Source organism: Homo sapiens, chromosome 3 (genome assembly GCF_000001405.40).
Source record: "Homo sapiens chromosome 3, GRCh38.p14 Primary Assembly".
Taxonomy (NCBI): Eukaryota; Metazoa; Chordata; class Mammalia; order Primates; family Hominidae; genus Homo; species Homo sapiens.
The window spans coordinates 150,120,666-150,145,093 of record NC_000003.12 but is presented as its reverse complement, the minus strand read 5'-3'; the positions used below and the strand labels follow the sequence as shown (position 1 = coordinate 150,145,093).

At 40.8% G+C, this 24,428-nt stretch overlaps 1 long non-coding RNA gene across 1 annotated transcript in view; it reads right to left on the bottom strand.

Moving 5' to 3' along the window:
• Window positions 1–24,428, bottom strand: part of LOC105374313 (uncharacterized) — a 54,559-nt gene that overhangs the window by 5,908 nt on the left and 24,223 nt on the right. Inside the window, exon 2 of the long non-coding RNA NR_136187.1 lies at window positions 20,064–20,156. This is a non-coding gene — a long non-coding RNA (uncharacterized LOC105374313). The remainder of the gene's footprint in view (window positions 1–20,063; window positions 20,157–24,428) is intronic.

Below are 24,428 nucleotides of genomic sequence, written 5' to 3'. Positions count from 1 at the left end.
CTTCCTATTGGGTGATATGGGAGCCCATTTTGCCCAATTACTTATCTACAGGGCCTCTGTAGACATTTGAGCTTGTGCTCTTCCATTCTGGGCAGTCACGACTGAAGTTTGACATTCTCATTTCATTGTTCATCCACACAGTAAATTCAGTTACCAAATTTTTTGGTTCCATTTTTTCAGTTGAGTGTCTCCTTTCTATTCTTACTGCTGCTGCTAAATTCTGTCCACATTACCTCTTGCTTTACCTGTTGCCATCACGGATTTGGCCTTCCTGCTTCAAGTTTTCCTTCTTTTAGTCCCTCCTACAGATCACTGAAAGATGGATTATATTCGTAAAATAATGTCACATTTTTGCCTCTAAACAATGTATTGTCTCCAAATTCCTAGATGAATTAAATACAAACTATTCCAACATGATAGCTAAGGCCCTTTATACAACGTCCATGTAGCAGAAACCAATAATTGGTTCTCTCCCCTCTCCTTAATAATAGATACGCTTTCCTTTGCTGAATGTTAGCCAGACACTTGGCTGCTCTGAACAAGGACCGCATTTCCCAGCCTCTGTTTTAGTTAGGTATAATCACGTGACTTAATTCTGCCAATGAGATGTGAGTAGAAGTGACATGTGCAACTTCTGGGAAGTGCCTTATGGAGAAGATTCCTGTCTTTTGCTCTCCCTTCTTCTTCCTGATGCCTGGAATGCAGAAGTGGTGGCTGCATGAGCCTTAGACTAGAAAGTGGAAGCCACATGCTGAGGATGACAGATCAACGGCATAGCAGAAGCCTATTCCCTGGCCCCGGGTGTCACTGAACCAAACTGGGGTCCACTTGCCTGGAACAGTAAGACCAAACATCCACAGTGAGGTTTGCAGCAAGAGAAAGGAGGGTTTTTATTTGCAGAGCATCAAGCAAGGAGAATCGGGCAGCTCATGAACCCAAATATACTTTAACTCTTGTGGTTAATAAATCTTCGCAATTCTGTTTTGCAAATGAGGAAACTAAAGCCCAGAATAAACAGTGTTATTTCAGGATATTGTGCCTCATTACTAGATATTATCTAAAGATTTTCATCATAACCAGTTTCCTGCATCCACGAGGGTCTTACTTCCCCTATAATCATTCAATATTTCTCAAAATATGGTCTGTAAAAGACTATAGACTTAAGATATGGATTCTGGGGCCCTATATTCTGTGTCTATGAATTAGAATCTCTGGGGATGGGGTTCTGAAATCTACATTACAAATAAGCTTCTCCAATGATTTTATACACACCGAAGTCTGAAAACCTCAACTATACCGTAATTAACAAACGTTAAGCCAGAAGACCTCAGCTCTTGGCTGGGCACCAGAAGCTCCCATGGAAGTTGAATTGCCCTATTATTGGGCCCCAAATTCTGAGGCAGCAGCTTTGGGGACTACTTCATTCCACTCTCAACTAGGACTCAATCATTCAGAGGTTTGAAATTATTGGAACTTTAGTGGACTACACATTTGGATGAAAAATTCATATTTTAAATGATCACCCAGGGCACTGAATAGTATGTTCCACCAGGCCATCCTGCTGTGGAAGAAAGAAAGTTGGAATACTACATTTAGGGAAGATTTTTCACAGGATTATGTTTATTTCCCAAAAAACTACCAGAAAAACCTGTTGATCAAGCAAAGCTAAGCTTTTTATCCTATTGCGGAAAGAGAAAACACCACCTTGACAAAGCCTTGGTTTTATCTCAAAAGGGGAAACTCAGGAGAGGATATTTATAGTATTTTAGTGCCTGGGATGGATGGCTTTTATGGCAAGCCTTGCAAGGCAGGAAACTAGGATTGGGCAGTTTATAACACAATATCTTTGGGTTGTTGGGCACAGTGAGGAGAGGGTATAGAAGTGAGTACTAATGAACAAGATGTTACTCTTGGTAAGTCAGCCATTTAATTGGTTCTCAGCCTCTGGGAACAAGAATTTCCTGGAGCAAGTAAGTAAGTTATTTGGTTTGGTCCCAGGATTGTTGAACACAGAAGAAAAGTATGTTTGTTTCCATTCTAATTAAAATAAAAAATATTTGTGGTGAAGCCTCAATTATCCCTAAAAGTCTATTTTCTGGAAGTTTACTTTCTGCAAGCACTATGGTAGAAATAACATTTGTATTTTATTTAACAGTTTACAGAAAGAAAACACACACTTCGTGTTTTTTGATACAACCTGTGAGGTAGTTAAGCCAGGTGATTTAAAATGCCCAGTTTACAGGTGAAGAAATTAAAACTCAGAGAAATTATGTAATTTGCCTGAAAAGTAAAGTGCTTTATATAGGAATTGTAACCTGGTATTCAGACTCCAATATTCATACCCTTAAACAGTACCACGAATAGGTTTGATTATGTCACAATGTCTTTAGTTGCTATTGTTGTTGGTTTTTTTTTTTTTTTAATGTTGCAGAATCTGGGGAGAGTTCTTTAAGTTTGATTAATGTAATTTGGTTATAGGAATGCCGAAAGGAATTCATTATAACTTGGCCACAACTACAAACTTCCAGAATCATGGACCCTACAGAAGAAACTATAACTGGCCAAGAGTAGAGCAATAATTAGCTAAGTATAAATCAACCAAGAAATAACAAATAAACGATGACTTCCTGAGTGCAAAAGGCACTGTGTAGCACTTTAGTCCTGGTTGCTGCTAGCTTGCTAATGCAGACAACCTAGAAGCAAGTACTGTGAATTCCAAATTATAAACGCCTACAAATTGAAATGTGTTTTTTGAGTATGTGAAGGCCCCCAAGGCTGACCAGCAAGTTATAAAGTTTTTCAAGTAGAAACTTACTGGTGGGGCTTAATGAGCCATGTATGTCACTTCCATTAATGAAATGAAATATGCCACATTTCCAAATCTCCCTTTAAATTGCAAATCCATCTAAATGGGTCGTTTCAGATAAACGCCACAATTTCCCTCTGGATTGGAAAGCACAGTCTATGATGATCTGGGAAAAAAGCCCACAAAGTCAAATAAGGGAATATATCAGAGATATAGTAGATGTAACATACATAATGAACTCTCTCTTGGAAACTGAATGTCTAAACAGATTAAGTAAATATCCACTGCCGCTTGAAGGGAGAAAGAAATCAATTGTCCCATGTGCTTTTCTCAAGCAGGGCTCATACTCTAAATCAGAGTCTCTCAACTCTCATTGTATTTTATAATCACCAGGAAAGCTTTGAAGATTCCTGATATTCAGGCCTTACCCCAGACCAAGTGGGTTTTAAAACCCCCCAGGTGATTCCAGTGTGCTGCCAGAATTGAGAACCAGTGGCCTAAATCAGTGGTCCTCAAAGTGCAGTCCCCAGACCAGCAGCATTGCCATAACCTAGAAACTTGTTAGAAATGCAAATTCTCTGACCCGACACCAGCCCCTCTGAATCAGAAATTCTGGGGCTGGGACCTAGCAATCTGCGTTTTAACAAGCCCTCTAGGTGATGCTGGCATATGCTGAAGCACTTTTGAGAAGTACTTCTCTAAATAAAAGGGCAGTGTTCCTCCACCTGCAGCTTAAGGGAACATAAGCCTGACCTGCCCCAAACACTGCTTGGGACATGTGGCTTTTGTCTGAAGACGGATGCCACTATTGACGCAACACCCAGGCCTCTGGCTTTAAAGTAAACTGTGAAGTGCCATGTTAACTATAAAGTGTGGAGCTTAAAGGTGGAAGGGAACAACAGAAATCCCTGGCCCCAATTCCAGGGCTGATCTTATGAGGCAGGCTGGTCCCAAATAGTGCATCTACTGGGACCACGGTCAACATTTGGGGTTTGCCTCCCAGCACACCCTTTCTTCTGACTTTAGGGCCAGATTTTTGTTGATGAATCCATCCTCTCCCACTTTTAGTCCCCTCGGTGGGTCCCATGAGCGAAGCTGTAAGGTACATGGATGTGCTTTGGTCAAGGAATAGGCCAAGGCGAATATCCGGGCCTGCATGACTCAGCAACTTTGGCAAGCAGGCGCACACCTCCGCTTGTTATATAACCTCTTTGTGTAAGCTCATACTTTGCTTTAAGTCACAAAGGTAAAATTTCCCTGCTAACGCTGTACAGGGACTCTTGGGGCTCAGCTAGGTTCAATATGGCTTAACATGGTGGGCATGCTGGCGCCCAGAGAAAGGGAGAGAGAGAGCCAAAGCTGTCTGTCTTGCAGACGGACAGAAGGAAGCCACACAGCTCAGTGCGCTGGTGCCCCAAAACAGAAAGAGTTAAGCTGCTGACCCTGAAGGCAAGGGAGAGCTGGCCATGCAGCTGCAGGCGTGGAGGCTGTAGGAGCCGCAGTGCCAGAGCAAACAGCTGAAATAAAGGTGGACAATGTGAATAAGCTGCTAAGAGAGCTGCTGCTGAATAAAACCATATTCACCTGCCTATGCCCCCACCGAGTGTTCTTTCTGCTCATCCACCCACTCCCCTTGGACTTCAGCATGGGCTGGACCCAGACCCCAGGACCTGACAGAGACCAGTCGGCAAAAGGCTGTGAGGACTGTAGCCCCGCCTTTTTCTCTACTCCATCTCCTGCCATCCTCCTAGGCAACACCAGAATCACACTGGATGGCCATCTGATTCATTGGCCATGAACATTCTGAGTTTCTTCATTCCCGATAACCTTCCCCTATACTCCATCTCACCCATTCCTGCCCACAGATCTTTAAATTCATGAATTCAAGTATCCTTTCTTTGGTCCTCAGCCTTCTCTCTTTACAGTGTTTTTGCTTGGATACTCCTGTTTCAACTCTTTTTTGACCTCACAAGCCCCTCTCATCTATTGTCCCTCACCTTCTTCTTCTATTGCTCCTCTTAATAAATGAATGCCCCCAGTCAATGGTAGGGAATAAAGAATGCATATGTTTTAGATCTTAAAGCACGCTTCCTGTAATTGCTACTTAAAATTCATCATTCTCTGCAAATCCCTGCCACCCTGCTATGATGGATAAAGTGTCCTTTCTGCCATCAAAGGCAAAGGTCCCCATATGTGCTCTGGTCCCTCTTTCCAAACCTCTTCTAAGAAACTTTATGCTGCTTGTTATCTACCCTTATTTTCTCTTACCTTTTCAATCTCATTCTAGCAGCTGGGTCCTTCTCATCATCTGTTAAACACGTTCTGACTATTCTGATCTTAAACTGGATTTTTCCCTGTATCTCCTCCATCACTATTCTCTTCTCACCCTTCTGGCTCAATCTCCCCATGAGATGTGTCTATATTTCCTTTCTCAACTGGTTCATCATTTGTTCCTTAGGACTTTCTGATCTCATTTCTGTCTCTACCACGCTAATGTGTCCAATAAGCTCTGTGTGGTTTAATTTAGTAGACAGTCTTCGGTCCTCATTGTCATTGACTTATTAGAAGAATTTGACACACTAACCATGTCCTTCCTCCACTTCCTTCCTTAATATCCCCAACTGTTAACCCCAACTAGAAGATAAACTTCATGAAAACAAAGGCCTTGTCTGACTTGTACCTGCTGCATCTGCATCCTAGAACAGTTCTGGCACTGTTCAATGAACAAATGAATCAATCAACTACGTAAATATTCATTTCATCTTAGTACATGAGGGAAAGTACAACGTGAAAAGAAGGATAATAGAGGAATCTAAATTCATGTTAGGAAGTGGCTTATGGGTCAGGAAGGCTTCTCCTGGTTTCCATGAGCTACGCTCTCTGACTTTTCTTTCTACCTGTCTGTCTTCTCATTTCCAATCTCCTTTGCCAGATGCTTTCCCCTTCTCTCTCCCTAATGTTTCATCATTCCTCAAGAATTGTTTCCAGACCCTCTTCTCACACTACATTTCCTCTCTAGGTAACTTTAGCACTGTCACTGATGCCTTTACAACCCTTCCCAGTTAGATGTCCCCAGTCTAGTCCTTCCTTCTGAGCTCCAGATCCATATAGCCAATATACCCCTGCCTGCCCAATGTCTAACAACCACCTCAAACGCAACATATCCAAAATTAAGACACGAACCAGTGCTTCCCAATCCTCTATATTTGCTTCTTTTTCATGCTGTCTGTCTTAGCAAGTGACACCACATTACGCCTAGTTACTCATACCTGAAACTCATAAACATGAAGGAAAGTAAATATGGAAAAGAACACAGTAGAGGGATCTAACCTTATATTATTTTTACTATCTTGGAATCAAGTATAATGATTTTAGACATTTCTGTAACTGGGGTACTATCTTTCTTGGACTCATTCTTTTTTCCCTACATACTAGATATAGGTAATCTCAGTTATAGTTCACATATACAATTTTCTTTTCCAAATGTTTGTTTTAGCTAGAGTTATTAATTGCCTCTTTTTTTGACTCACTGGCTAGGTCTTCTCATACCTCTACTAGCTCTATAAAACACTTCTGAATATAATATTTTTATTTTATTATAAATCAACAATTTATAATTGTATACATTATGGGGTACAAAGTAATGTTATAATTTATGAATATGATGTGGAATAATTGTCAAGCTAATCAACATATCCATTACCTCACTTATTATTTTCCTGTTGAGAACATTTGAAATTTACTCTTAGCAATTTTGAAATGTATAATACACTATTATTAACTATATTCACCATGATGTGCAACAGGTCACAAAATAAAACCTCATTCCTTCTGTCTTAGATTTTGTATCCTTTGACCATGATCCCTTTATTCCTCCCACTCTCTAGCCTCTGTAACCACCATGCTACCCTTTGCTTCTATGAGTTTGACTGTTTCTGTCTTAGATTCCACACATAACTGAGCTCTTTCTGTGCCTGGCTTATTTCACTCAGGATAATGTTGTCCAGTTCATCCATGTTGTCACAAATGAGAGAATTCCCTTCTTTTTAAAGGCTAAATAATGTTCCATTGTACATATAAACCATATTTTCTTTATTCATTTATCTGTTGATGGACACAGATTGATTCCATAACTTGGCAATTATGAATAGTGCTGTAATGAACATGAGAATACAGACATCTCTTTGACAAACTGATTTCAAATATTTTGGGTAAATATCATTTCATGCATTAAGTGGAATTGCTGGATCACATGGTAATTCTATATTTAGTTTTTTGAGGACCCTCCATAAAGTTTTCCATAATGGCTGTACTAATTTACATTAACAGTGTAGAAGGGTTCTCTTTTCTTCACATGAACTCATTGCTTTAATTATATTTTATTTTAAATGTTGAGGTTGAGAAATTTGCTGCCATTCTGATTTCTAACACTTATGTGACATGCCTTTTCTCTGAAAGATTTTGAACGCCTTGATTTAGCTTTGGAGATCTTAAATTTTATGATGGTGTGCCTTGATACATATCTTTTTTCGTGCATTTCTGAGACCCTTTCAATCTGGAAACTTAGGTCTTTCAGTTCTGAAAATACTTCCTATATAATTAGTAAGAATTTTATATATTAATATAATTTTCTCTTTACCATTTTTAAATTCTATCTTTCCGCATCTAAAGTCTTGGGGCTTTTTTGCATCATCTCTTTTTCCTCTAAGTTTTGGCTTTCTGTTTAATTTTGATCTCTCTCTTCTATACCAGAGACTTTTCTTAAAGGCTGATCATCCTTGGATATCATAATTCAGCTTAAGCCATCATGTGTGTTTGGGTGGAACTTGTTGGTGGGTGGGTTTTAGTGTAGGGCAACTGTGTGGCCATCTTGCTTTCTCACAGAGACCTTCATTTGTCAGTTTCTGGGTAATTTCTCTGTGGCAGTTCAGTTTCTCCAGAAAGGATCCTCCGATCTCCTGCCTGGATATGGTCTACAAGTTTCCTTTGACTTCTGGAGCTGGTGATTGGGAGTTTCTGTGGTTGTACTTTTCAGTTAGCCGACGCAATTTTCTTCTACTTCTGTGCCTTGGTTCCTAAATACAGTACGCTTCTAGTTCAATCTCTCCAGGGACTCTAACTTTTGTCTACTGTGAGTTTACCAGAGGGATAGTCTAGTTGAGATAGTAGGGGGAGGTCCAACTACTGCTTATACAGATCTTCAATTGCAATGTTTGCAACCCTGTGCTCTACTTCTGCCTTTAGTGATAATGTATGCCTCCCATTCTGGAGCTTCTTCAGGGTCTCATGTGGTCACCCAGCTTGCTCTTCCTTGGTCTGTCTCTCTACAGGTGCTTAGGTTTCACTTGCATCCACTCTGCTAAGCCTCTTCCCACCTCTTCATCTTCTTTCTATCTTTATACTTGATGGTTCAAAATCACCAAGGACTTCTGGTTTTATTTAAAATGGAGGTTCGCATTCCTTTGTTTTGTTCTATTCTAGTAATTTAGGGGGTAGTTTTTGAAAGAAGAAAGGCAGAAAGGGCTTTGCTTTACTCAGCAATCTTGAAACCAGAAGTCCTCCCTTCTCCATTTTTGACTTCAGCAACTGGGGTAGTTGTATCTGGCATTTGTCAAAATGGAGAAAGCTAAGAATAAAACAGGTTTGGAAAGAACCACCAAATTTTTTTTGGTCATGTTGATTTTAAGATGCCTTTTAGATATTTTAATTGGAGATGTTGGGAGTAGACAGTTGGATATAATGAATTTGGAGTTCCAGAAAGAAGGGGCATAGATTCTATTTAGAGTCACAGGATCAAATGTGATTACCCAGACAATCTGTACAGATAGTGGCAGGAAGAAATTGCAGGCTCAGCATATAAACATCAAGCAAAGAAGGAGATATCAGCAAAGGAGACTGAGAAGGAGCTGTTGGGGAGAGAGGCAGAAAATCAGGTGAGTGCAGTATCTTGGAGGCCTAGAAAGAAAAGTGTTTGAAGGAGTTCAACTATATACTGTAAGAGTGAAATAGGATATAAACAGAGAGGTGGCCATTGCATCTGCCAACACAGAGGTTATTGGTGACCTTGACCAAGCAGCCTCATAGAGTGATGGTGTCCAGAGAAGCTTGAAAGGAATGGCCTGAGGAGAGAATATGAGTGAAGATGTGAGACTGCAACTGTAGATGACATGCTCACCAACTCTCCTGCTATGTATGCCTTGTTCATCATTAAATCTTTAGCAACTAGTAACCACACATAAAATATATGCGGATCCACTGAAAGAATGAATCTGGTCCAAGTGTTCCTACAGTGCTGGGATCTTTTCTAATGCATGCACTTCCATTGTCTCCCACCCTGTCTTTATCCTCAGAGAAATTAATTTTAATAATATGAAATTAATTTTAACAGGTGAAATTAATTTTAACAATATACTTAATTCACTATATTCAAAGCATTATCATTTCAACATGAAATCAATTCTAAAAAATCTTGGAGTTATCTGACATTGTGTGTGTGTGTTAAGTCTTTGAAATACAGCATATGCTATACTCTTCCAGTGCATGCCAATTGGAACCAGCTACATTTCAAGTGCTTAATATGGTCAGTGGCTACTGTATTGGCCATATTAAGTCATTCCTTTCAAAGGGAAGCAAAAGCTGTGACTATAATCTGTGAGCTTCAAAAGGTCACAAATTGGTTTACCCAAACCATTCAAATGCAAAGCAAGTTTGTTTGGCAACAGGAATTGCACCACTCAGCTGAGAACATTCTGTAGCCTGCTGGACATAGGACTTTGGGGCCAGTGAATGGAAACAGGCTTTCTGCCTGAAGGACCAACTCCCATTAGCTATGAAGTCTTGGGCATTTTCCTTTCCCAACGCATCTAGTATTTTTCCTCACTTTACTCTCTGGAATTTACATGGAATTCCATTGATGGTGTGATGATGTGTAAAACAGAATGAACTCCATGTGCTCTGTGGCATGGATAGGCCTGAACCCAGTTACAACTAATTTCTACATTAATTGAACATGAATTCAAATAACATACTCCTTTGCCTTACAATACATTAGGTTTCTAGAGATTATGAATGCATTATCAAGATGACCTAATTCATTGTTGCTCTGTAGACTGGTTGTTTTGGTTGGTAAATACCCAGTTTTATCTGTGTTTGCTTCATTCACTGAGCTAGAGCTTGTTTCTCCTAAGAGAGACCTGATTAGGGGCAGGCAGGTGGGCAGGCTTCCACTACGGACCAGCTGGCTTCCCAGGTCTAAGACCCTCTTACATTCTGTGAGGCACTGTCTTTCATGCTGTTCACAAGTTGGTCCAAGAGGCATTCTTGAAGATTAAAATTCACACAGAAACAGCATGTTTGGCTTTCAGAGGATCAGCCATGTTATTTTCATGTCTGCTTGAAGGATGGCATCTCAAAATTTTCCGAGCTGGGCCAACTCTGCAAACAAATGACCTGCATGTTGTCAAATCACCAGCTCAGGCCAAGGCAGATACTCACTGCGCCTGGCCCACCCAACTCCCAGCAGTCCTCTCCAGCAAGCTTGTCACACTTAAGAAAGGTGGTATTTTAGCAATCTGTTTATAAAACTGCCAAAGGAACATTTATCATGAGGTGCAAACAAAATAGGCACAGGAGAGAAATGTTTTGCACCACGTTTCCCAGAATTCTGAAACATGTATCCTAAACACTCTGAGACACCTCTGGTTAACCTGTGCAGTAAGTATCAGAAGCAAGTATCAGAAGAGTACATGGACCAGGTGTGGTGGCTCACTCCTGTAATCCCAACAGTTTGGGAGACAAAAGTGGAAGGATTGCTTGAAGCCAGGAGTTCAAGGCCAGCCTGGGCAACAAAGCAAAATCCCCATTTCTAAAAAAATTAGCTGGGCATGGTGGCATGTGCCTGTAGTCCCAACTACTCGGGAGGCTGAGGCAGGAGGATATGCTTGAGCCCAGGAGTTTGAGGCTGCAGTGAGCTGTGATTGCACCACTGCACTTCAGCCCAGGCAACAGATCAAGACTCTGTGCATTAGTCAGTTCTCACACTGCTAATAAAGACATACCTGAGACTGGGTAATTTATAAAGAAAAAGAGGTTTAATGGACTCACAGTTCCACATGGCTGACGAGGACTCACAATCACGGTAGAAGGCAAAGGAGGAGAAAGGCATGTCTTACATGGCTGCAGGCAAGAGAGAACTTGTGTAGGGCAACTCCCCTTTATAAAACCATCAGATTTCATGACACTTATTCATTGTCACAAGAACAGCATGGGAGCCCCCTCCCCACCATGATTCAATTACCTCCCACAGGGTCCCTCCTGTGACATATGGGAATTATGGCAGCTGCAATTCAAGATGAGATTTGGGTGGGGACACAGCCAAACAATATCACAAAACGAAATAAAAAACCCATATGTCCTGTAATGTACACACATTCTGAAGTGAAAACAAGCTGGGAAGTCCAGTATGGCTAAGAGTGTCAGAATCCTCCACAACTGTGTTCAAGAGATTATTAAAATACAGTGAGGGGACATTTTTCTTATTACAGCAGAGGTGACATGAGTTCAAGAGGTCCAGGAATTGCTGAGTTAAAATACCCTTGACTGACTGTATTAACCCCTGGCATTATATTAAAATTTGACAAGCCACCCATGATTGGAAAGCAAATAGACAACTTGCTTCAACCCAATGGTGATAAATCAGTCACTCACCAGGAGCAGTAGCCACTGACACACAGACATGAGTATTATGCAGTTTTCTTTAGTGATTTACCCAGCTGGCTGGCTGCCTACTTGTTTGAACGTCTTTGGGGAAATACCAGAATTAGAAGTTAATGTACTGAAGAAGCTACCATCAGAACGTTATTCACTAACTGAGAAAACCTGAAAATAATCAGAAAGATCTGGCTGCAGGCATTGATGCCAGACAAATACAGAGCCTGCTTCTCACTTCCCTGGAGGTCACAGGCCAGGCCATCCATGACACATTTGGGAAATCAGAGAAATAAACTCTGATGGACCAAACAGTCTTGTGTTGTACCACTCAAACCCAGAAAGGTGTAGAGCTAAAAGATGCTCTGAACACCTCAGGATGCCCCCAACACTAACTTCAGTCAAATGTATATGACAGGGTTGTCCAATCTTTTGGCTTTCCTGGGCCACATTGGAAGAAGTAGAATTGTCTTGGACCACACATAAAATACACTAACGATAGCTGATGAGCTACAAAAAATAATAAAATCACAAAAAACCCTTATAATGCTTTAAGAAAGTTTATAAATTTGTGTTGGGCTGCATTCAAAAGATCTCATAATGTTTTAAGAAAGTTGATAAATTTGTGTTGGGCCACATTCAAAGCCATCCTGGGCCCCATGTGGCCTGTGGGCCGCAGGTTGGACAAGCTTGGTCTATGGACAAGGCACAGACCTGATCTGTCCTAGATCTAGTGCTGGACTAGATGCCATTCCATCTCTCTTTTTCCCTCTTTGTCTTCTCCCCCTTCCCTCCCCTCTCTCTCCCCCTTCCCTCTTCCTGCACAGTAGATTGAAATAGAAAAGTAAGAGCTGGGTCAGAGGTAGGTGTTAGATGATTTTCATGGTGTCCTGCAAATGAATAGAGCAACGTCTTGGCCCCTATCAATTAAAAGGCATTTTGAGGAGCCACTTTCTGGCCAGAGTAGGAGGTGGGTAAGGGACTGAAAGTAAGTCTCATACTGACATATTTGTTTAGGTGACTTCCTCTTTCCTAGGTTACGGGCATCTTGAAGGCAGGAGCCACGTCTTAAGATAGGCTTTTAAAACAACATGTATTTTTATTGTCTGATTGTGAAATAAATACATACTCATCGTAGAAAAAACTGAAACACATTTTTTAAAATCTCATCTTACACCTAGCTTTTAGAATAGTGTCTGGAACATAACAGGCACTCAATAAAATTGTGTTGGAGAGGGAGGAAGAAGGGAAAGTGACATCAATCTCCTCATTAAAATGCACATAATTCAGCAGTGGCCACGTGGGGGGCAGTGAGTCAGGAGGTGCTAAAGCTGCACTGTGTAGCTCAGGAGCACAGGTTGCCTGCAGCTCCGGCTGCTGCCTCTAATCTCAGAAGTTTATCAGGGGTAGATGTGAATTTATCAGATAACAAGGACCTGGGATTACTTAGCCTGGAAAAGAGAAGCCTTAGAATCAATTTAAAAATTAGCATGGTAATAGTATTTCCATTATACAAAGTCATATATGTTCCTGAGAGACAAATGGAAAAATGTGAATGAATCCCCTAGAGTTCCAGTCCTGTTGATATTTTGGCAGATTCTCTCCAAGCACGTTTTCTAGATGTTACTCTTTTGTCATTGTTCTTTCCCGTCGCTGGGATCATGCTCAATCCATGAGGGGTCATGGCCCATCTGTGGTCATGAAACCTATGTGGTGGGTCTAACTAGCATGGAAAAAGACAAATTGGAAGAGCATCTAAAATGCTAAAATGTACTGTCCCCAGGGTAGGCAAGCATTGTCTCATGCAACCTTTGTTTCAGTAATAAAATATGTATGGGTGTCCTGGGTCAAGATGCAAAAACAACCATTTACCCTGGGTGTGGTGTGGTCAAAAGGTTTGAGAAACAGTGTACAATATTTCTTTCTGCTTGTTCCCCCAATTTAATTTAAAAAATGCTTATATACTATTGCATTTTAATGACAATATCATTGTTAGTAGTCTAATATGTCATTAAGTGGATGTACTATAACTTATCTAACACCCTCTTGCTGGGCATTTATTTCATTTCACAATTATAAATATTATGGAAATAAATCTTTTTGCAAAGTTTTTTTCCACTTATAAAACTAGATTCCAAAAAGTGAAATGATTATATCGAAAGATATCATTTTCTGTTTAACAGAGATGAAATTTAATAGGCTACATAACTGGGAAATGCAGTTTGTAAATTTCTTTCCTTTCTGTAACTGAATTTAACTAGCTCCTACTTCCCTGTTTCTCCTCATTAGCACAAAGCTTAATCTCATCAGTTCAAGATAAATTAGTCCCTCTGGTTTAAAATTCTGTTTGTTCTTGGTAATTACTCCATCAATTTAGGAATCTTGCTCCTCCCTGTAGCTTTCCCAGGTGAAGCCCTCAGATGGGTACAAATCTGGTCCAAAGTTACCTGCTGGCCTTGCTAACCCCCCCTGAGTTGTACCCAGTTCCACCAGTTCTTGGGCATCACTCCATTCCTGTTTCATCCATTTCTGCCAGTCATGGGCAATCCAGTCTACACAGTCTGCCTTCTCCTGGCCCAGCCTAAAGGCTTCTCTAGCCTGCTGACCTTAGCTGCACTGCGGTCCCCCTCCTGGGAGCACAGCTCTCAGCTGTTTCCCTTGACCCAACCAGGGAGTGTAGGATGCTGTGAAGCTAGCCACAGGTTCATCTGCTTCAGTATCTCCACAGCTATCGCTACTCTGACATTCAGGTGCACGGACTTTCCACAATGCTTGCTCCCCTCCAGGCTTCTCCTGGGAAGCTAGGGAATGGTGTCTTCTGCTGTAGGATCCTTGTAAATTTATCTGAAGGATTTTCATTCCCTCAGGTTGTGCCAGCCATGGAGGTGTATAGCTTGCCTCTCCCTTTAAGAAAGTGACTTGCTATTCAGATGCAAGAATGTCATTAGCTGACAGGCCCCAGCTGTGTGTCTCTTCAGGTTCTCCCTCAGCTTTTGAGCTGAGGCCACACTCTTCCCAGGCAGGGCCCAGCCAACAATTGAGCACAGCGGGGATCCTCAGGTGTTGCTATTTCTGCCCAACACAGAACTCCTCTAAGAGGCTTTCTTGGCTCCAGAGTTCCCAGGAGTGCGCAGAGACAGTCAGATTTGGATTGCAGTTGTAGGCTCTCTCTGCTCAACCTTCCCCTCTTATCTATCACAGGTGCCCTCCCCTGACACTTATCTCACCCCATAAACTTCTTGCACTCCTAACTCCAACCCAAGGGCTCAAGTGACACAAAGCCCCTTTTCCCCAGAGCAGTGGGCCCTATGCCCCTTCCCAGAAACTATCCACATTTAAACCTCGGTTACTTCCCTCCAATTCTCCCTTTGCTGTCATTAGTCAAGGATATGTTTCCCTTTGGTGAGAAACTGGATTTGACCTCATCTCCCCTTTATATGCCGTAAATCCCTGCTTCCGTCACTGCCAGGCACTCACCTCACTGAGCATCTCTGCATGCTGGGCAAGTGCTGGGGACTTTCCCTCATATTCAGAGCCTTTGGAACCACCATCTCCATTCTACAGATGTAGAACATTAGATTCAAAGTCCCTGAGGTCCTATGTAGATCGTTCCTGAAGAGCAAGTACAAAGTGAAGCACAGAGAACCCAGCTAGCGGGAAGGAGCTCTGATTTTGTCTTTATTTATTTATTTTGCTTGCATTCACCTAACCATTAGCTGGCTAGTGGTATGTAACTTACATGACTATTAACTGTAATATTAAGAAAAAATGAATTTCTAAAGCTTCATAGAGTCAGGAGAGCTCCTGATTGAACATTTCTTCAGGGCAGCCCAGAAAGTACTGAATATAAAAGATCTCAGGGAATTGTTAATCATCATAATAACTTTGATAAAATATCTGAAAAGATGTGGTTTACATGGGACACAAAGAAGTTTAATCCGTGTTTGAGTTAATGAATGAATTTATATATATAGAATATAGGATATAGAAAATTTAATAACAAAGAAAAGAAGCCCAAAGGTTTTCATCTGGCCCAGTGTCTATGACTTCTACAACTACAAGATGAGGATGTTCGCGATGGACTGAGATATACTAGTATTAAGTAAACCCCAAGGAATTCTCGGAAACTGGTTCTTTTGTGCAGATGACCTATCATTTGTAGAGGAAACTGAAGGGAAACAAAGCAGACAGTCTCGGGCTGGGAGCACACAGCTGGTATTCATGGGTTGAAGCAGGTCTCTCTGAGGCCAAGCTCTGCACACAACAGCTGTTTATGGTCTAAGCAGCACTCAGCTGGTGACATGCATCCTAGAACAGTGCCTCTCAAAATTTAATGTGCATACAAATTAAAGGGGCATCTTGTTAATAAGCAGATTCTGATTCTGTAGGTCTAGGTCAGGGGCCTGAGACTCTACATTTCAATAAGCTCCAAGGTGACGCCATGGACACTAGTTCATTGGCCATAGTTTGAGTTCCAAAGGATATGAAATATGCTCAGACAGCTTCGTGCTTAATTCCAGAGGCACAGACACTGTTTGAATAATTTATTCCCCCCATCCCCAGCCCTCACTTTCAAAGATGCCTTTGGAGTTTCTTGTTAAGGAAAGTTACCAAGAAGCAAACATAAGTCCCTCATAGCCTACTGCAGCATTGTTTCTGTGAAGCCATCACCTCTCCCAGCCTAAGATAAATATTTCCTAAGTAGGAGAGGTATGCCCACAAAATGATTTCATTTGATAGAAAGACACGGCATTAAATGACCTTGAATCAATAAGGATATTACTTCCTTTCCAGTTCTCTTTCCATCCTCCTAAGTATGTCAAAGAGAAAGTCTCTGTTAGGTGCTATTATGTCTTTGAATGCTTGCTGCTCTCCCTGTATTGGGATGTGATTGGTTGCTAACAACAGAAAACCCAACTAAAAATGCCCTAAATAAATGAAACAGCCTAGAGGGTGGAGGGGGTGCTCAGGCTGGTCATCTCAACTGGCTCTGGAGCCTTCAAAATATTGGCCTCACTCTTGGGCTAGAAGTAACTTTTCCAATTGGCTGTGGCAGCTCCAGGCCTTGCACTCATACTCAACATTGGCCCCAGTTAACATCCAGAGGAAAAGACGCATTCTATTCTCAAAAGACAAAAAAACCTTCTTTTCCCAAAAGGTTCCAGAAAACTTCCTCTTTGTGTTTCATCAGCACGAATCAATTCACATGGCCTTTCCTGGACAGTTTCAATGACCAACAGTAGCCTGAAGCCTTAGGCTTGGGCCCTTGGCAAGGGGAATGAGTGTTGGGTGGTTAAAAACAAGAATCTCTCCATTGTCTTGTCAACAAAAAGAGAGTAGGCCTCTTGTTGGATGCCTTTGGGCAAGAAACAGTGGACAATTCAAGTGGATTTTAATAATGGGAGGGGCGTTTGGGTTTTTTGTTGTTTTTTCAGTTGCTTTCTCTTGATGGCAAATGATATTAATTTCCTATTCACAATTGTAAAAAGAAATTTTATTTTTTATTACTTGTATTTCAGTTTTACAATATAAGTTAATTTAGAAAAAAATGTTAAAGAATAGAACACAATACATAAATGTGGCAAAAATTATGAAGGTCATAGGAAAATGAGAAGTTTGAGAAACATCACTACACTGTTACTTCCTGGCTAACAGATATTTGGAACTCCTAAATAAAGAAGGTTAGTTGTTTAAGAGACATCACCTGCTACTCAGTTGCTGTGGGTTGTAGTCTGGTGGGTTCTCATCCTAGACTGCATTAGAACCACATGGGAGTTTTAACAAAGCAAATGTCTGGGTTCCACCCTCCAAAGACTATAGATGGTTTCCCGTGGGGTCTGTGTGTTAGCATTTTTTAAAAGCTTCACAGGCTATTCTAATGTATAGCCAACGTGAGAACCACTGTTGAGACCTCTGAGAAATCATTCTGAAATGGAAATGAACAGGAATTTAGTTTGGTCCCATTGCTGGGCTGTGTCTCCATCTTGTAACTGAGTAGTTTAGCTTCGAAACACATTTTTCAAACTTTTTTTCCCCTTTTTCTCTTTTCTCCCTAGTCTCAAGATGTATCCTTGAAGTAAATTGCAGAAACGTCTTTTTTCCTTCTTAGTCTTAAAATATAGCCTTAAAGTGTACTTCAACACTTCACATCTCTCCCTCTCCCACCATACACTCTTACACCATGCACATTTATCTAACTACATGCTTGTTAATGAAGTTTCAGGGGTAATCTTGTGACAAACCAGGCATGGAGAGCTAGCTGTGAAATTCCAGAGATGATCTCAAGGTAATTAGTCTACAGCCCAGCCACTGCTGAGATGACACCAGCACACGCTCCAGGTGGACCATGACTCAAGACGGCCACCAGAACAAGGCATACCGACCTTACACTCAGCACCATGCCCGCATGCCTCCCTCTCCAAGTTCCTCTTTTAAGCCCCTCTCCCCAGCCTAAAGTTTGAAATGTTTCTTGTAAGGAATGAGCCTGGCCATTTCCCCAACCGCTGGCTTTTGGAATAAAGTCACTTTCCTTTTACTGCATCTCGTCCTCGTTCATTTGGCTTTACAAGCAGTGATCAGCCCAGCTTGCGTTTGGCTACAATCTCAAAAATTATAACTTGTCTTATGTATCTACTACTATCAGTCCAGTTAAGAAGAATACAAAGATGTGCACTGCTGTTCAGAGACCAAAGGGGCAAAGGCATTATTTTAGTAAATATAATACCTTTTGAAAATACTGTTTTCCAAGTAGTGTTCTTATAATAAATTTACAAGGACAGTTAAAAATGCAAGATGTTAATGTTAGATTATGATATCTCTTATGCGGGCTTTGGAAAAAAAGTGCACTAAAGCTTAGAATATTTAAAAGCTATTTTTAAAAGTTAATGTACATTTTCTTATATTCTTGTTGATATAAAAATAATAACCTGGGGCGTACAGCTTCAAACTTCAGATATTCATCTGTTCCAGATTTAGCTAAGTGTTTGAAGATAAGTACAGTCACTGAGATCTAGAGTTATTATGGTTTCAACATATAATCACCATCAAATTCATGTGAAAGGTCTTATATTTGTACATGGGTGATTTTATGTTGCTTATGGCATTTATAAAATAAGGTACCTCGCTCTTCACTATTCAATAGTACGATCAATGCAACAATACCACAGTACTACTGGGGTTGCTAATCTACTTCCATATTTCCTCCACGTGAAATTTTACTGGTAGCTTTGGTCTTCTTTCTGTGTCATGGGAGTGTTGACATTTTTAATCCAACTACCTTGTAGCATAAATGAATGTTAACAAAGGTACTTTGAGTTTCTATGTAAGAGCGAAGGGTGAAATGCCAAGAAAGGCTCACAACATGGAAGTAATCCCGGCAAGGATAGAATGAAAATTCTGCAATTCTGAAAGGTGCCTAATTTGCTAAGCAGGTTCCTAAAATGGCTCTGATGCTGGACAAAGAATGAACAATTTGTTGTAGATGAATAGAAGAGAATATGTGACCATCATTTGCCGTATTTTCCCATCCTGCTCACATTTTTAATTCAATGAATGCTTATCAAGCACCACCATGTGCCAAGCCCAGACACTGAGGTAATGAATGTAAGCACAGAGATCTCCATTGGAAGCCCAAGTCAGGCCAGAAGACAAGACTTTGTCTCTAACTAGACAGCTCTTAAGGGAATGAGGTTGACATCCAGTTCAAGGAGGACTAAATGTGCCATAAATCGATGTGGTTCTCTAACAGGGAAGTCCTACTGGGGATCATAACAAGCAAGTAAATCTTATTTTGGAAGGATAAAGGTCCTTTAGAGGGTGTCAGAGTAATTTTTCTCCTGGAGTGAATTCATGCATCTGGACTACCTCTGCTCCAGCCCCCAAGACCTTGACTCACATTTTTTCTCCTCCCCTTGCCCTACTGACCACCACCACTCCTCACACCATCCCCTGGTACAACCTTTGCCTACCCTCACTAAACCACCATCTGCTCCTGACTGCTTGTCCTATCTGGACCCTATTGCAGGAGCCCACATCCTTGGTATGATCCTCAAAATTTATATCATTATTACAAGCCATTAACATAGAAACTTTAATATTCCAGAATCATGTCTGAATTTTACTTTTATATTCCATACTGAAAAAAAAAGCTTCACCTAGAAATTTTGCTTAAAGAATTAAAGTGTAAACAGAAAGATAATTCATAATTTAAGTAATTCGTATTCCTTAATGCAACTGTAATAATTTTATGTAAGATCCTATGCCATGATGCCCAAACACTTGGATTTTGAGCTAACAAATAATATGACTATACAGTATCAACAATATTTATACCACAGAGGGAGAAGGATGTATTGTATAACCTTATTTCAAATGATAAAGCAAGCATCTGAGCCTGGCATCATTTCAAGTGTGAGAACAAGCACTGGTGCTTGCTAACTAGTCAAGTTGTGTATATGTTTCAATAGACTGCTACTTTTATTCCAGGCTTGCTTTTTGACCAGTGACCATTTAAATGTATGTCTTAATTTGATTTTTTTTCTTTGCTACTTACCAAGGACAATACTCTTGAAATCCAATACAGAAAGAGTGAGGCCTGACATGTTCCCCTTTTAATTTCTCAGTATTGATGATTTTATGGTTAGACCTGCGTGCAGAGAAAATAAAGGGAGAAAGTCATGCAAAACAAATTATTACCTGTCAAACTCTTTTTTTTTTTAAATTTAACATTAGAGATTATAGCCCCAACAAATGGATTTTTTCCCTCCCTATTTAAAAGCACTCTCTTCTGATTGATATTTAATGCTTACAGTGACCACACGGGACATGTATTGTTTGCAGCCATGTAAACTGCCTTCATTTAAAGGGTTCAATATAAAAGCCCAGAAGGACAATTCATTTATTTAGTTGCCTTTGGTCAAAACTGAAACAGTTCCTGGGCACTTTAAAGGAATATTGATCATTCAACCCACTATGCTATTTGCAGAAAGGCAGATGAAACCACTTTGTGCCTTTCATAAAAATCCTTTCAATTATAGTTGAAAGAGCTTTATTTACACCTGCCAATGCTGCCTTTTATGTCTCTGCTTTACTTTCTGCAGAGATAATCTTTGTTCCATCATGTCTTTTAAAAAGTGTAGGTCACAGTGAATAATGATAGAACTCATGAGGAAATGTGGGACTCCATGGGGGACAGTTTCAGTTCCTTCTTGAGATTGTCATTAGGGCTGTTCCAAAATACTCCATACACATGGTAGGATTGCACCTCTCTGCCTACAGGAGGTTAGGAGTGGTCACAGGACTCGCTCTGACAGAGAGGTGTACATGGAAGTGATGTGTGTCACTTCCAGGCAGGTTTAAAAGCCAGTGTGTACATGGCCATATTCTCTTTTCCCACTGCCGTGACAACCTGCCATGGTCTAGAGAGCAGCTTCTTCAGCCTGAGTCCCAGAGAGAAGACATAAAGCAGTGGAGCAAAGCTCCTGCTGGCCCTTGATGGACAATGGCACAATTATACACCTTTGCTGTTTCAAATCATCGAGATTTAGGGGCCAAGTCCCAAGGAGAAACCGTCTTGTAAGTGCCGATTAGAAGGGAAATTTGTTTAGAGGTCACAATAACCAAATGAGAGCATTGTCTTTTATATAAATTGAATAAATAAGTTAAAATTCTGTATTTATGTAATGATTGACCCAGTCCCTTCTCCCTCCCAGCATTATTTTTATTTTTAAATAGGAGAAATCATGTGACCTTTTGGGACACAAACTGCCGTTATCACTTTCATTTTGAGATGTATTTCTTTAACAGCAATTTTATTACTAAAGAACATGTGCCCCCAGCAAAAGAAATGACCATCAGAGTGAACAGGCAACCTACAAAATGGGAGAAAATTTTTGCAATCTACCCATCTGACAATGGGCTATTATCCAGAATCTACAAAGAACTTAAACAAATTTATAAGAAAAAAACAAACAACCCCATCAAAAAGTGGGCAAAGGATATGAATAAGACACTTCTCAAAAGAAGACATTTATGCAGCCAACAGACACATGAAAAAATGCTCATCATCACTGGCCATCAGAGAAATGCAAATCAAAACCACAGTGAGATACCACTGTGGTTAGAATGGCGATCATTAAAAAGTCAGGAAACAACACGTGCTGGAGAGGATGTGGAGAAATAGGAATGCTTTTACACTGTTGGTGGGAGTGTAAACTAGTTCAACCATTGTGGAAAACAGGTGGCAATTCCTCAAGGATCTAGAACTAGAAATACCATTTGACCCAGCCATCCCATTACTGGGTATATACCCAAAGGATTATAAATCATGTTACTATAAAGACACAGGTACATGTATGTTTATTGTGGCACTATTCACAATAGCAAAGACTTGAAACCAGCCCAAATGTCCAACAGTGATAGACTGGACTAAGAAAATGTGGCACATATACACCATGGAATACTATGCAAGCCATAAAAAAGGATAAGTTCATGTACTTTGCAGGGACATGGATGAAGCTGGAAACCATCATTCTGAGCAAACTATCACAAGGACAGAAAACCAAACACTGCATGTTCTCACTCATAGGTGGAATTGAACAATGAGAACACTTGGACACAGGGTGGGGAACATCACACACTGGGGCCTGTCATGGGGTGGGGAGAGGGGGAGGGATAGCATTAGGAGAAATACCTAATGTAAATGATGAGTTAACGGGTACAGCAAACCAACATGGCATATGTATACCTAGCTAACAAACCTGCACGTTGTGCACATGTACCCTAGAACTTAAAGTATAATTAAAAAAAAAAAAGAACATGTGGCCCTGAGCAAGCCACTTAATTTCTCTAGGCCTCAGTTCCCCTGCGTATGGAGAAGGAAGGAAATGGAGTAGACGCACCAGACTCCCTCCCTGTGGTCTCCTGCAATATATTAGCTCATTTAGGCTTTTAAAACAATATACCATAAAGCAGGTGTCTTATAAACAACAGAAATTTATTTCTCATAGCTCTGGACGCTGGGGAGTGTAAAGTCAAGGCACAGGCAGTTTCAGTGTCTGATGAAAGCAGCTTCCTCACAGGCAGCTATCTTCTCCCTGTAACCTCTCATGGCTGAAGAGGCGAGGATCACTCCAGACTCTTTCATAAGGGCACTAATCCCATCCATGAGTGCCCCACCTTTGTGACCTAATCACCTCCCAAAGAGCCTACCTCCTAATACCATCACCTTGGGAGTTAGGATTTCCAAACAGGAATTTTGGAGGAACATAAACACTCAGTTAAGCAGTAGCAGTCTGCGTTTAATACATAGTTCACAGAAATTAATAGAAAATTAAATGAAACCTAAAACTCAAATCTTTTAGCTCTTCTTCTAGTTCCTGAAAAGTGTTATTAAAGCGTATAGCAATTTTGTTATGAGACCGTATCTTCCTATGACAGAGAAGCCTAATGTGAAAAAAGGAGAATTTTTGAAGAAATGAAAGAGTTTAGGAAAATTTTGGTTTTGTTGTTTTGTTGTTGTTGTTGTTTTGTTTTGTGTGTGTGTGTGTGTGTGTGTGTGTGTGTGTGTGTTTTGAGATGGAATCTCTCTCTGTTGCCCAGACTGGAGTGCAGTGTCACAATCTAGGCTCACTGCAACCTCCGCCTCCCGGGTTCAAGCAATTCTCCTGCCTCAGCCTCCCAAGTTGCTGGGATTACAGGCGCCCACCACCATGCCGGGCTAATTTTTTGTAGTTTTTTAGTAGAGACGGGGTTTTGCCATGTTGGCCAGGCTGGTCTCGAACCCCTGACCTCAGGTGATTCACCCACATTGGCCTCCCAAAGTGTTGGTATTACAGGCATGAGCCACTGTGCCCAGCCTTGTTTTGTTTTTTAAATGAACTTTTGATTGAAGTATACCCTACATATGAAAAAATGCACAAATCAAAAGTGAACAGCTTGGTGAATTTTCTCAAAGTGAAAATTCACATTGTAACCAGCACCCAGAGCAAGAAGCAACATGATCAGTACCCAGAAACCCTCCTCACACCACCCCTTGACACAAAGGCTGTCACCATGCTGACTTTCTCTAGGCTGACTTCTAATGGCAGAGATTAGTTTTGCTACTTTTTAACTTCATTGTTGAGTACCAGATGCACTTTTGCATCTTCCTTCTTTAGTTAACAGTGGATTTATCCAGGGTTTGCATGACATCACAGTTTGGTCCTTGTCATTGCCATATAATATTCTGCTGTGTGACTTTACTAAAATTTAGTCGTTCTACCGTGATGAACACTGGGATGTTTTCAGGTTCGGGCTACTATTAATAGTGGACATTTTAAGTCTTTTGGTTAATATTTTTTGCCCTACATTTTCAGATTGAGGGTTCAGGAGGTAGATCTCTTTAAACCTAAGTAAGAGGACCTAGGTCTGTGGCAAAGCTTGCATGTTGGAGTATCTCTCTAGTGTTGAAGGAGAGAAAGCAGTTCTAAAGTCCCAGGTAGGGAAAGGAGAGAGGAGAAAAGGAGAAAGGGAGGGAGGAAAAGAAGGAAAAGAAGAAGAAGCAGAAGCTCTATGGAGCCAGAGGATTCAGTACTGGTAAATTGTACTCCTAGCTAGGAGATGCCATTGTCCTTTTAGTTTAATCCTTTGAACCCACAAGCTATACCATGTGGAATTCCCTAGGAAGCATTTTTCTGGAGCATCATTGTTATGTCAACGTAGCAAGTCAGTAAAGATGGTAGATGCTTAGAAGAAAAATATTTTTTTTAGACTTGCTATTGAAAATTGTCATAATTGGGCTGGGTGCGGTGGTTCACACCTGTAGTCCCAGCACTTTGGGAGGCCGAGGCGGGCGGATAACTTGAGGCTAGGAGTTCGAGACCAACCTGGGCAACATGGTGAAATCCCGTCTCTACTAAAAATCCAAAAATTAGCCAGG